At 38.9% G+C, this 14,558-nt stretch overlaps 1 pseudogene; it reads left to right on the top strand.

Moving 5' to 3' along the window:
- Window positions 6,942-8,681, top strand: KRT8P14 (keratin 8 pseudogene 14; annotated as a pseudogene).

Raw genomic sequence — 14,558 nt, 5'->3', positions numbered from 1 at the left:
CTGGAAACAACCCAGATATCCTTCAATAGATTCATGGATAAACAAATGGTGGTATGTCATACAATGAATACTACTCAGCAATAAAAAGGAATAACTACAAATTTATGCCACAATATGGATGAACCTCAAAGGCATTTTGCTAAATTAAAGAAACCAGATCCAAAAGGTTACATATGTAGGATTTCTTCTATATGACATTTTGGCAGGAGCAAAACTATAGACATGAAAGACAGTTCGGTGGTTTATAGGAATTAGGGGAGGGGACATGGACTGAATATAAAGGGGTGCAGAAGAGAATTTTATGGAGTGATGGAACTATTCTATACGGTACCATGTTGGTGAATCTATGACTGAATTTGTCAAAACTCACAGAACTGTACATCACTAAAAGTGAAGTTTACTGTATGAAAATTTTAAAAATCATTTGGAATGTCTGGAGAACATAGGATGGAATGAATGCAGACTGACAAATCTAACTGTATAAACTATTATTTTATTTATATTTTAATTCAATTTTTAACTTTAGATTCAGGGGTACATGTGCAAGCTTTTTACGTGGGTATATTGCATAATGCTGGGTTTGGAGTGTGATTGAACCCCTCACCCAGGAAGTAAGCATAGTACCCAACAGTTAGTTTTTTAACCCTTACCCCGTCCCGTCTTCACCCCTCTAGTAGTCCCTAGTGTCTATTATTCCCATCTCTATGTCCATGAGTACCCACCCACTTGTTAAGTGAGTACATGTAGAATCTGATTTTCCATTCCTGCATTAATTCACTTAGGATAATGGCATCCAGCTGCATCCATGTTGCTGCAAAGGATATAATTTTGTTCATTTCTATGGCTGTGTAGTATTCTATGGTGTACGTATACCACATTTTCTTTATCCAATCCACCATCGTTGGGCACCATGGTTGATTCCATGTCTTTGCTATTGTGAACAGTGCTGTGATGAACATATGAGTGCACGTATCTTTTTGAAATAATTATTTATTTTCCTTTAGGTATGTACCCAGTAATGAGATTCCTGGGTCGAATGGTGGTTGCATTTTTAGTTCTTTAGGAAACCTCCAAACTGCTTTCCACAGTGGCTGAACTAATTTACATTCCCACCAGCAGTGTACAAGTGTTCCCTTTTCTCCACAACAAAAAATCTGTTATTTTTTGACTTTTTAGTAATAGCCATTCTTGTTTGAGATGATAGTTCATTGTGGTTTTGATTTGCACTTCTCTAATGATTAGTAAATTTGGGCATTTTTTCATATTTCTTGGCTGCGTGTATGTCTACTTTTGAGAAATGTCCGTTCATGTCCTTTGTCCACTTTTTAAAAATTATTATACTTTAAGTTCTAGGGTACATGTGCACAACGTGCAGGTTTGTTACATAGGTGTACATGTGCCATGTTGGTTTGCTGCACCCATCAACTCGTCATTTACATTAGGTATTTCTTCTAATGCTATCCCTCCCCCAGCCCCCCACCCCATGACAGGCCCTAGTGTGTGATATTCCCCGCCCTGTGTCCAAGTGTTCTCATTGTTCAATTCCCATTTATGAGTGAAAATATGCAGTATTTGGTTTTCTGTCCTTGTGATAGTTTGCTGAGAATGATGGTTTCCAGCTGCATCCATGTCCCTGCAAAGGACACGGAACCCATCCTTTTTTATGGCTGCATAGTTTTCCATGGTGTATATGTGCCACATTTTCTTAATCCAGTCTATCATTGATGGACATTTGCATTGGGGTTGTCTTTTGCTTATTTGTTTGAGTTCCTTATATATTCTGGATGTTAGACCTTTGTCAGATGCATAGTTTGTGGATATTTCCCCCCATTCTGTAGGTTGTGTGTTTATTCTGTTGATAGTTTCTTTTGCTATGCAGAAGCTCTGCAGCTTAAATAGGTCCCACTTGTCAATTTTTGTTTTTGTTGCAATTGCTTTTGAGAATTTGGTCATAAACTATTTGTCAGAGCTTATGTCCAGAAGGGTATTTCCTAGGTTTTCTTCTAGGATTCTTACAATTAAGGTCTTACATTTAAGTTTTTAATCCATCTTGAGTTAATTTTTGTATATGGTGACAGGTGGGCGTCCAGTTTCATTCTTCTGCATATACTTAGTTATCTCAGCACCATTTACGGAATAGGGAGTTCTTTCATCACTGCTTATTTTTGTCCACTTTGTCAAAGATCAGTTGGTGGTAGGTGTGATTCTTTATTTCTGGGTCCTCTATTCTACTCCATTGGTCTATATGTATGTTTTTGTGCCCATACCACACTGCTTTGGTTACCATAGGCTTTGATATTGGGTAATGTGATGCCTCCAGATTTGTTCTTCTTGATTAGAATTGCTTTGGCTATTTGGGCTCTTTTTTGGTTGCAAGTGAGTTTTAAAATAGTTTTTTCTAATTTTGTGAAAAATGATGCTCGTAATTTGATAGGAATAGCATTGAATCTGTAGGTTGCTTTGGGCAGTATAGACATTTTAATGATATTGATTCTTCCTATTCATGAGCATGGGATGTTTTCCCATTTGTTTGTGTTATCTCTAATTTATTTGATCAGTGTTTTGTAATTCTCATTGTAGACAGCTTTCTCCTCTCTGGTTAGCTGTATTCCTAGATATTTTATTCTTTTTGTGGCTACTGTGAATGAGATTGCATTCTTGATTTGGTTCGCAACTTGGACATTGCTGGTGTATAGAAATGCTACTAGTTTTGTACATTGATTTTGTATCCTGAAACTACTGGAATTGTTTATCAAATCTAGGAGCTTTTTGGCAGAGACTATGGGGTTTTCTAGGTACAGAATCAGATTGTCTGCAAAGGGAGATAGTCTGACTTCTTCTCTTTCTATTTGGATGAACTTTATTTATTTCTCTTGCCTGATTGCTCTGGCTAGGACATCCAGTACTATGTTGAATAGCAGTGGTGAGAATGGGCATTCTTGTCTTGCTCTGGTTCTCAAGGGGAATGTTTCCAGCTTTTGCCCATTCAGTTTGATGTTGGCTGTGGGTTTGTCATAGATGGTTCTTATTATTTTGAAGTATGTTCCTTCGATGCCTAGTCTGTTGAAGGTTTTTATCACGAAGGGATGTTAAATTTTATCAAAAACTTTTTCTGCATCTATTGAGATGATTATGTGGTATTTGGTTTTTATTCTGCTTATGTGGTGAATCACATTTATTGATTTGCATATGCTGAACCAAACTTACATCTTAGAAATGAAGCCTACTTGATTGTGATGGATTAAAGTTTGATGTACTGCTGGATTTGGATTTCTAGTAATTTGCTGGGGAATTTTGTATCTATGTTCGTCAGGGATATTGGCCTGTAGTTTTCTTTTTTCATTGTGTTTTTGCCAGATTTTGGTATCAGGGTGATGATGGTTTCATAGAATTAGGGAATAATCCCTCCTCCCTGCTTTTTTGGAATAGTGGTGTAAGTTGTCACTAAGATTGGCACCAACTCTTCTTTATATAACTGGTAGAATTTGTCTGTGAATTCACCTGGTCCTGGGCTTCTTTTGGTTGGTAGGGGTTTTTTTTATTATTATTACTGACTCAATTTCAGAACTTGTTATTGGTCTGTTCAGGATTTTAATTTCTTCCAGATTCAGTCTTGGGAAGTTGTGTGTTTCCAGAAATTTATCCACTTTCTCTAGATTTTCTTGTGTGCACAGAAGTGTTCAGAGGTACTCACATCTCTGAGTAACTTCTGTGTTTCTACAGAATTGGTTTTAATGTTTCTTTGTCATTTATGATTGTGCTTATTTGGATCTTCTCCTTTGTTTCTTTGTTAATCTAGCTAGTGTTCTATTGATCTTGTTTATCCTTTCAAAGAACCAATTTTTGCTTTCGTTGATCATTTGCATGGATGTGGGGGTCTCAATTGCATTCAGTTCTGTTCTGGTTTCAGTTATTTCTTTTCTTCTGGTAACTTTGGGGTTAGTTTTTTTTTTTTTTTTTTTTGAGCTCCTCTAGGTATGATGTTGAATTGTTAGTGAGGTCTTTCTAACTTCTTGATGTAGGTGTTTAGCACTATAAACTTTCCTTTTAACACTACTTTTGCTGCATCCCAGAGATTTTTGTATGTTGTGTCCTGGAAAATAGTAAAATGATTTTTGACTGGAAATTTTATATCTAAAGACAAAAAGAACTATAAGTAAACATTGTATTCTGGTTGGGAAATTTTTTCCCATAAGGATAAGGGTTAGCATTTCTGAAACTACTTTATATGCCTACTAGGATTGATCAAATAAGTAACTATATTAAAGTTAATGAGCCCAGATTTCACACTGTCAAAGAAAGAAGTTACAAGTAAATGAAGGGGTGGGGGAGGACAGAATGAATCCTGTGATGCTACAGTAGAGTCAGAGATATCAGCATGAGCTCATGTTGATAGATAGATAGATATAAATAAAAGTAGAGAGAGATAAAAATAAATAAAGATGTATATTTGTATACATGGGTTTGAGTGTGTGTGGGTGTGTAACTTTTTAGCTTTGAGAGATCCAAGAAGCAGTAACATTTCAATAGTAACAGGTATACCCAGCACCAAGATCTGGGTTTTAAAATACCACCCTTCAATAAAAGGAACCACAGCTCCTTGGAGAATGGCTGATTTTAAAGCTAAAGGAAGGAAAATACCTTATCCATTTTGTAGTATTAGTAAGTAAGGAAGGGCTAAAAAAGGGAAGGGGGTTAGGAGTGGAGGCATGCCATAAGAACACAGGAGCCAAACTGAAAGAGGGTCAATAACCAATTGAGAAACATAAAAATAATGATAGTATTGGGTTATAACTCAAAGGACACAATTATCCATGAGTCCACCTGATATAAATAAATGATCAAAGATATAAATAATGGGGAAGAAAGGACAAATCTTCATTAAAGAATAATTCCAATTAATGAGTATAGAAGAAATGAAGAAAACAGTATATCAGCATTAGAACACCACAGTGATAACTGCTGTAGGTAGTATCTGTTGATGAATGCTAAACTGGTGGACAAAACTTTAAGGAGAAAAGTGTATTTGTGTAGTCTCCAAGTATTTCTCCCCAATTTAGTAATTACTCTGGTGGACCACAGAATTTTTTCATACTCCTTCCTCAAGGAGGTGGAGTTTAATTTCTTCCCCTTGAATGTGACTGAACTTAATGACTCACTTTTAACAAATTAAATATGGAAAGAAATAATAAATTCACTGTGGAGAAACCTGGCAGACACCACCTTAACCAAATAATCAAGTCTAATATCACCAATGATAAGTTAATGCCATGTACTCCTTGAAATGAGGCAATGAGAAGGGCACTTTCCCTTATGCTGTATTCTTCCTCCAAATCTATAACCCAAGTCTAATTATGAGAAAACATCTTACAAATCCAAATTGTGAAACATCCTATAAAATACCTGGCCAGTACTCTTTCAAAAGGGTCAAGGTCATGAAAGAGAAGCAAAACCAAGAAGCTGCTACGCATTGGAAGAGACTAGGGAGACAACGTGATTAAATACAAGGTGTTACCCTGCATGTGATCTTCAAACAGATAAAAAGATATTGGCAGAAAAACTGAGAAAATCTAAATAACACATATAATTTAGTTGACAGTATTGTACTAATGTTAATTTCTTAGTTTGATAATTGTGCCATGGTTATGTAAGATGTTGTATTAGTCTGTTTTCATGCTGCTGACATGAAAGCATTTCATGCTTTCTGACATACCCGAGACTGGGATGAAAAAGAGATTTAATTGGACTTACAGTTCCACATGGCTGGGAAGGCCTCAGAATCATGACTGGAGGCAAAAGGCACTTCTTATATGGCAGTGGCAAAAGAAAATGAGGAGGAAGCAAAAGCAGAAACTTCTGATGAACCCATCAGATCTCATATAACTTATTCACTATCACGAGAATAGCACGGGAAAAAGACCAGCCCCCATGATTCAATAACCTCCCCCAGGTCCCTCCCACAATACATGGGAATTCTGGGAGATACAATTCAAGTTGAGATTTGGGTAGGGACACAGACAAACCATATCAGATGTGAGCATTAGGGGAGGCGGGGTGAAGGGCATATGGGAATTCTATATACTATCGTTGTAACTCTTCTATAAATCTAAAATTATTTCAAAATAAAAAGTTAAAAATTTCAGTAACATTTCTATATTCCAGTGACAGAAAATGAACTTAGCCTTAAAACTGTGCAGTTCCTAGAAATAAAAGTAGTTAAAAGGATGTAATATATTTATTGTGAAAATAAAATACTATATTGAAAGTCATTTAAAAAGTTCTAAGTGGAAACTGTAGTCGTGGGTAGGAAGACTTAATATTGCCCTCCAGTTGATCAACAGATTCAATGGAATTGCAACACAAACCCAGCAGGCATGTGTGTGTGTGTGTGTGTGTGTGTGTGTGTGTGTGTGTGTGTAACTTGACAAAAAGATTTAAAACAAATATGAAGGAACAAAGTGTAAAAATAGCCAAGACACTCCTAAAGAGAAAATATCCTTACTAGATAGCAATAATTAGCTATAATACTTATGGCAGTGTATATAGTATTGATATAATGATAGACTAATAGAATAAGATGCCTAGAAACAAACCCTGCCCAACTTTATACTGCCTAAAAGGAAGATATCAATATAAGGACACAGAAAGATTTATAGCAAAAAGGATTAAAAAGTATATACCAAAAGAAAATAAGGTAGCCAAAATATTATCCAACATGTAATTCAAGGCATGAAGAATTGTTTGAGATAGAGATATTTCATACCAATAAATAGGAGAAACTAATAAAAACCATTATTGTATACACCCAATAATATACCTGAAAAGTATATAAAGCAGAAATGCACAGAAATAGAAAAATCTATAATTAACATTAACAAACTTTTCAGTGCCTGATAGTACAAGCAAATGAAAAATATAACAGTAAAGATATTGCAGTTGCCCACCAAGAAGCAGCTTCTCTGCTCCTTCTGGAATCTCCGCCTGGTTCAGCCTGCCTGCCTCCACCCCTGCCTCCACCATGTCCACCAGGGTGATCCAGAAGTCCTACAAGGTGCCCACCTCTGGCCCCCGGGCCTTCAGCAGCTGCTCCTACACACATGGGCCCAGTGCCCACATCAGCTCCTCAAGCTTCTCCCGAGTGGGCAGCAGCAGCTTCCGGGATGGCATGGGTGAAGGCTATGGTGGGGTCAGTGGCATGGGAGGCATCACCACCATCATGGTCAAGCAGAGCCTGCTGAGTCCCCTTCACCTGGAGGTGGACCCCAACATCCAGGCTGTGCACACCCAGGAGAAGAAGCAGATCAAGACCCTCAACAAGTTTGCTTCCTTCATCGACAAGGTACAGTTCCTGGAGCAGCAGACCAAGATGCTGGAGACCAAGTGGAGCCTCCTGCAGCAGCAGAAGATGGCTCAGAGCAACATGGACAACATGTTCGAGAGCTACATCAACAACCTTAGGCGGCAGCTGGAGACTCTGGGCCAGGAGAAGCTGAAGCCTGAGGCGGAGCTTGGCAACATGCAGGCATGCAGGGGCTGGTGGAGGACTTCAAGAACAAGTATGAGGATGAGATCAATAAGTGTACAGAGATGGAGAATGAATTTTTCCTCATCAAAGATGTGGATGAAGCTTACATGAACAAGGTAGAGCTTGAGTCTCGCCTGGAAGGGCTCACTGACCAGATCAACTTCCTCAGGCAGCTGTATGAAGAGGGGATCCGGGAGCTGCAGTCTCAGATCTCGAACACATCTGTGGTGCTGTCCATGGACAACAGCCGCTCCCTGGACATGGACAGCATCACCACTGAAATCAAGGAGCAGTACAAGGAGATTGCCAACCGCAGCTGGGCTGAGGCTGAGAGAATGTACCAGATCAAGTATGAGGAACTGCAAACTCTGGCTGGGAAGCCCGGGGATGACCTGGGGCATACAAAGACTGAGTTCTCTGAGATGAACATCAGCCGGAACATCAGCTGGCTCCAGGCTGAGATTGAGGGCGGGCTTCCCTGGAGGCCGCCATCGCAGATGCCAAGCAGCGTGGGGAGCTGGCCGTTGAGGATGCCAAGGCCAAGTTGTCCGAGCTGGAGGCCGTTCTGCAGCGGGCCAAGCAGGACATGGCGCGGCCTCTGCGTGAATACCAGGAGCTGATGAATGTCAAGCTGGCCCTGGACGTAGAGATCGCCACCTACAGGAAGCTGCTGGAGGGCGAGGAGAGCCGGCTGGAATCTGGGATGCAGAACATGAGCACCCATAGGAAGACCACCAGGGGCTATGCAGGTGGTCTGAGCTCCGCCTATGAGGGCCTCACAAACCCCAGCCTCAGCTACGGCCTGGGTTCTAGCTTTGGCTCTGGTGTGGGCTCCAGCTCCTTCAGCCGCACCAGCTTCACCAGGGCCATGGTTGTGAAGAAGATCGAGACCCGTGATGGGAAGCTGGTGTTCCAGTCCTCTGACATCCTGCCCAAGGGAACAGCTGCGGCAGCCCCTCCCAGCCTGCCCCTCCTGCGGCTGCCCCAGAGCCTGGGAGGGAGGCTGCTGTGCAGGGGAGCACAGGGAACGGGAGGGAGGCTCACCTGAGGCTCAGTGCTAGCCGTCAGCCCATTCGAGGGGGAGTTTACCGCCTGAGGACCTCTATTTGCTTTTTTTTTTTTTTGTCCAAAATAAAACCTCAGCTAGCTCTGCCAAAAAAAAAAAAAAGATATAGCAGTCAAGAATAACAAAATTAATACAATTGAGTTAATTGACATGTATACAAAACTGTGGCCAACAATAGAATACACATTTTTATCAGTGAACTTGGACTATACCAAAATTGACCATATTCTGGGTTTTAAAGTCCCAACAAATATTAAAGAATTGAAATAATTCAGAATGTGTTCTCTGACCCTAGTTAAGATAGAAATCAATAATAAAAGTTAACCATAAAAATCTTAAGTTTGGAAATAAAACAATATACTTATTTATGAATCATGATCCAAAAAATAACAAAAGAACTTAGAAAGTTTTAAAAAATTGACTTATAATGAAAACATGACAAATGAAAATTTGTGAGATGCAGCTATAGAGTTTAGAGGAAAAGTTATAGTTTTATTTACATATATTAGAAAAGAATAAAAGCCAAAAATTCATGATCTAAGCTTTTATCTCAAAAAGCTAGAAAAAGACCATCAAATAAAATCCAAGGGAAATAGAAGGAAGTAAAAATAAAGACACCAGGAAAATGTCGTGAAATAAAAAATAGAATAGAAAACATCAAAATAGCCAAAAGTGATATCTGAAAAGTTTAACAAAATTAATAACATGCCAGTAAAACTGTTTGAGAGGAAACACATTACTAATATTGAAAATAAAGAAGTAAACATTAACTATAGATCTTACTAATGCTAAAAGAAAACTTAATACTAATATATTTGACACTTCAGTGAATAGTAAATTCCTTAAAATACACAATGTACCCAAACTGACACTAAAAATGTAAGAAAATTTGAGTAGTCTTATATTTGTTAAAACAATTGAATCCACTAGTGAAAGACTTCCCATAAAGAAAACTCTAGACTCAAGTGGCTTCACTGGTGGATTGTGCCAAATATGTAAAGAATTAATAATACCAATTGTAACCAAACTCAAAGAACAGAAAAAGAAAAACTGCTTCCCAATTCATTCTGTTGTTGAAAGTCAGACATAATCTAAATAGCCCTTTAGTGTAAGCTTTTATATTAATCTGGCTGGGAGCTAGGATGTCTTTAATGTTTATGGTGGCTGTAGGTGCCAAAGGCTTCAAATTCCTTTAACGTCCTTGTTTCTGTCTCCTTTGTTGACTTTGGGTTTCCCTAAGTACTCCTGCTCAGAGAGAGTCTGTATCTTATAGCTCTTTCTGCTATAATGTATTTTTTCCCATTATATGTTTTTTATTTTGGTATAATTTAGGTAAAATAAAATGCACAGATTTAAGATGACAGTTCTATGTGTTTTGATGGATTTATACACCCAGAATATTGTCACCCTAATTAAGACATGAGACATTTCCATCACTTCAACAAATTTGTTTTGTGCTTCTCTATATTCAATTCTTGTCCATGTAATCTACTTTCATTATACGGGAGCATATTAGTATGCAGAATGAAAGTATTCTATAATCCTATGATGAAATCTCAGCCTTTTGGTGGGCCTGTGTTCCTGTGGCCACAGGTCTTGTTTGGTGTGCCTGTGTCTTCACTTTTTCCTCCCTGTTAGGTGAGACAGGAAGGCTAGAGGAAAGTAGAGGGGGATCAATGCCCTTTGCCCAGGTGGGATAAGGCTCTGGAAAAGCCTGTTTGTCCCTGGAGATGCCTTTGCTATGGAGCATACATTGGTTTTATTTCATAAAGATTTATTTTCTCCCCCTGCTCTACCCCACCAGAGCCAGTAGGGGAGAAACTAATGAGGTTTTTGGAAATAGAATCCATGAAAATATGAGGGCTCTACTAAGACGGTGGCCCTGGAAATTTCTCAGTCTCATGCTAGTTCACACTCAGCCTCTAGCAATTTATCAAAATTACCATCAAAATTACCATTTAAGTGTTCCTAACAGTTTATGGCTCCAAGTGGCTTCTGCTCCAGATATGCAAATATTAGCTGTACTTCTCTGGATTTGCCTGTCTCTCCCAATTTCAGAGTGGTGGTCTACCTTGCAACTTCAGCTCTCTGATGGGTACAAGAAAAATCATTGATTTTCAGTTTGTTCAGGCTTTTCTTATTATAAGGGTGGAAGTGACAACTTCTAAGCTCTTTACATGTTGGAGCTGAAACCAGAGGTTCCCAATTCATTTTATGATATGAATATAACCATGATACAAAAAACCTGCAAAAGACTTTACAAGAAATGAAAATTAATGTCAGTCCATCTCCATGAACATAAATGCCAACATTCTAAACAAAATATTAGCAAATAAAATCCAGATATATGTATAAAAGTTAATGCGCCGTGACCAAATAAGACTTATTCCAAGAAAACAAGAGTTTAACATTTAAAAACCAATGTAATTCAACATATTAACAAATAACTGAGAAAGTAAAATCACTAATCCTTAAAAACCTAAGTTCTTGAAGCCTTTCCCAGCTTCAGGTGTTGTTATTTCGTACCTTCTCAGAGGACGTTGGCTTCTCTTTTCTCCACAGAGATTGGTTGCTTTTGGCTGGGACGCCAATCCAGTTAGTGATGGTCAGGATGAAAGGTTTGGTTACCATTGGCACACATGGCATGGACCAGAGCTACATGATGTGGAAAGAACTGCTTGAGGAAGTTACAACCTAAATACCTGTAGGGGTTGGGGTGGAGAAGGCCCTAGTGAAAAGTGAGCTTATTTGCACCCCAGAGTCCCTGAGAAGCTCAGCACTTTCATTGTTGTGTGACATCCCATATAACAGTAAAATGTTTCCAACAAAATAACAGCCAAATGTTTATAACAGACTCTTGGAAAAATCCACATAGACTTCATGCCAGGGTCTCAAGCAAAACATGCTCAAAACTGTCTGCACCTCTCCTGAAATAGATCCTGCCATCTGACTTCTCTCTTCCTCCCACTCACCCAGGACTGCAGACTTGACCTCTTCTACATCATCTCCCTCCTACCCTACATACAATCATTTGCCCTCAAAACTTCTACATTCATCAGCTTTTTCAGCCTCAATGCTGGTATCTTCATTTAGTTTCCTACATGATTAAGTGGACTCATTCCTAAAGTTATATGTTTAGAATGTAACCAAATCAAGTGTACTCAGGTTAATTTGTTTCCATACATTTGTAATAGGTTAAGAATCATTGTGGAAAAATTATTGTGGCAGAAGCAATATAGCAAGTTAGCATCTGTCAAGTCAGTTGGGAATCACTGGTTGGACTGAAAAAAAAAAAAAAAAAAAAGGACAATCCTCACCGTGTAAAGAAATAGTAACCTCTTGTTCCTTAACAATTCCCTAGGTCATCCCCAGGCTATCCCCTGAAACAGTGACTCAATCCTAGTCCTAATCTCCACATCTCTTGCCACCAAATCCTAGATAAATCCGTATCAGAACCCACAACCACAAATCACATCTGAGGACACCCCATTCTGACGAACCTATGAGACAAAGCAGGGACGCCTCTTAGGGGCCTGCCATACACTCCCACCCCCACCCCCCAAGCATGGAAATAAAGGAAAATCTTGAGTTTCTTCAAGGGAAATTCTGGAAATTCTGCCTAGCTAGCCCTGAGATTAAATGAGGAACTTGATAAGCAAAAAGGTAATAGTAGCTTAAAACAATAGCCAAGGAAGTTAGAGTCATGAGATGTTTGTTTTCCTATAGAAACTAAAGGTAATATCTTAATATAAGTCCCTAAGTTGTTTTTCAGAAACCCAGACCCCCACAGACCCCCATCAAACAGATCTGTTGGCAGGCAGACCTCAGATAAGGGGGAACTAAGGACTGAACCCTGACCACCATTCTATGTTCTGAAGTCCTTCCTGAGGGTCTGAGTCCTCGTGGGTGAGGAAGTTACACCCACAAGTCAGAGCTAACATTCCTTTCTGGTGATCCCAAATTTTTAAACAAAGCTTCTCTTCCTTAACCAATTGCAAATCAGAAAATCTTTGAATCTGCCTATGACCTGTAAACCCCTGCTTAAGATATCCCCCCTTTAAGGCCAAACCAATGTATAGTTTCCATGTACCAATTTACAAATTTGCCTTTAACTTCTGATTTCCTGAAAATTTCCCCTGCCTTTAAAAACCCTTGCTTGCAAGCCACTGAGGAGGTTGGTTCTTAAGCATGAGCTGCCCAATTCTTGCTTGATGTCCTGCAAATAAACACCCTCCTTTTCCTGCTGCAAACCTCAGTGTGGATGTTCGGCCTTACTGTGCTGGACGAGCAGGCCCCAGTTCAATTCAGTTCAGTAACACCTGTAACTTTTACACCTTGGAATTATTGCAACCGACTACTCCCTTGATTAATAGTACCACTTTATCTCTATTAAAGGTCAAGCTTTTAAAAAGTTTCCACCTTGTACATTTTCCTCATTCAGGCACTTCTTTTAATCCTGACATTATTATATTTTAGCTAACTAATTATTGATACTCTCTTTTCCTGAAATTGTTCACCTCTGGTTTTCCTCTTATCTCTGTAGGCGGTGGATTCTCCTCTATAGGCCCATTGATAGAGTTTCTCAAAGCTTACTCTGTCTGAGGCCCTTTTCTCTTCTCTCTGTATAACTTTTCCTATGAGGCAAACTCACCCACTTCCTTGACTGAATATTAAAAGTGGTATAACTCCACCCCAAATCTCTCCTCTGAGATTCAGACCAGCATATCCAACATTCTACTTAACAAACATCTTCCAAGTTTCAAAAACACCTCAAATTCCACAGGTCCAAGTGTGATCTTTCTCTCCATATCTGACGCTCTTTTAGTGTTTTTTATTTTTTAGTTAGTAGTTCCACCAAATTGGACATGATAGAAACCGAGGAATAATCTCTGGCACCTCCATCTGTGTTATTCTCCACGGTCAATCCATCAACAATCCCTGTGAATTTTCCCTCCTATACTCATCCACTTCCATCTGTCTCCTCGGCTCCCACACTAGACCAAGCTATAATCATTTCTTGCCTGGACTAATAGAGTAGTCTCTTGAAAAGTCTCCTTGAAGAACTACAAACCACTGTTCAAAGAAATCGAGATGATACAAACAAATGGAAAAACATTCAATGTTCATGGATAGGAAGAATCAATATCATTAAAATGACCATACTCTCCAAGGCAATTTATAGATTCAATGTTATTTCCATTAAACTACCATGACATTTTTCACAGAACTAGAAAAAACTATTTTAAAATTCATATGAAACCAAAAAAGAGCCCCAATAGCCAAGACAATCCTAAGCAAAAAGCAAAGCTGGAGGCATCATGCTACCCAACTTCAAACTATTCTGCAGGGCAACAGCAACCAAAAAAGCATGGTACTGGTACAAGAACAGACACATAGACCAATGGAACAGAGAAGATAACCCAGAAATAAGACTGCACACCTACAACTATCTGGTCTGACAAAAACAAGCAATGGGGAAAGGATTTCCTATTCAATAAATGGTGCTGGGATAACTGGCTAGCCATATGCAGAAGACTGAAACTGGACCACTTCCTTAAACTGTATAGAAAAGTTAGTTCAAGATGGATTAAAGACTTAAATGTAAAACCCAAAACTATAAAAGAAAAAACAACAACAACCCTGGAAGACAACCTAGGCAATACCATTCAGGACATAAGCACAGGCAAAGATTTCATGACAAAGACGCCAAAAGCAATCACAACAAAAGCAGACATTGACAAATGGGATGTAATTAAACTAAAGAACTTCTGCACAGTGAAAGAAACTGTAAGCAGAGTAAAAAGACAACCTGGGAGAATGGGAGAAAATTTTTGCAAGCTATGTATCCAACAAAGATCTAATATCCAGCATCTATAAGGAACTTAAACAAATTTACAAGAAAAAAACAAACAACCCCATTAAAGAGTGATGAAAGGACATGAATAGACACTTCTCAAAAGAAGACAT

Source organism: Homo sapiens, chromosome X (genome assembly GCF_000001405.40).
Source record: "Homo sapiens chromosome X, GRCh38.p14 Primary Assembly".
In the NCBI taxonomy this organism is placed as follows: domain Eukaryota; kingdom Metazoa; phylum Chordata; class Mammalia; order Primates; family Hominidae; genus Homo; species Homo sapiens.
Note: the sequence above shows the minus strand (reverse complement) of the source record. Positions and strands in the feature narration are given on the sequence as shown.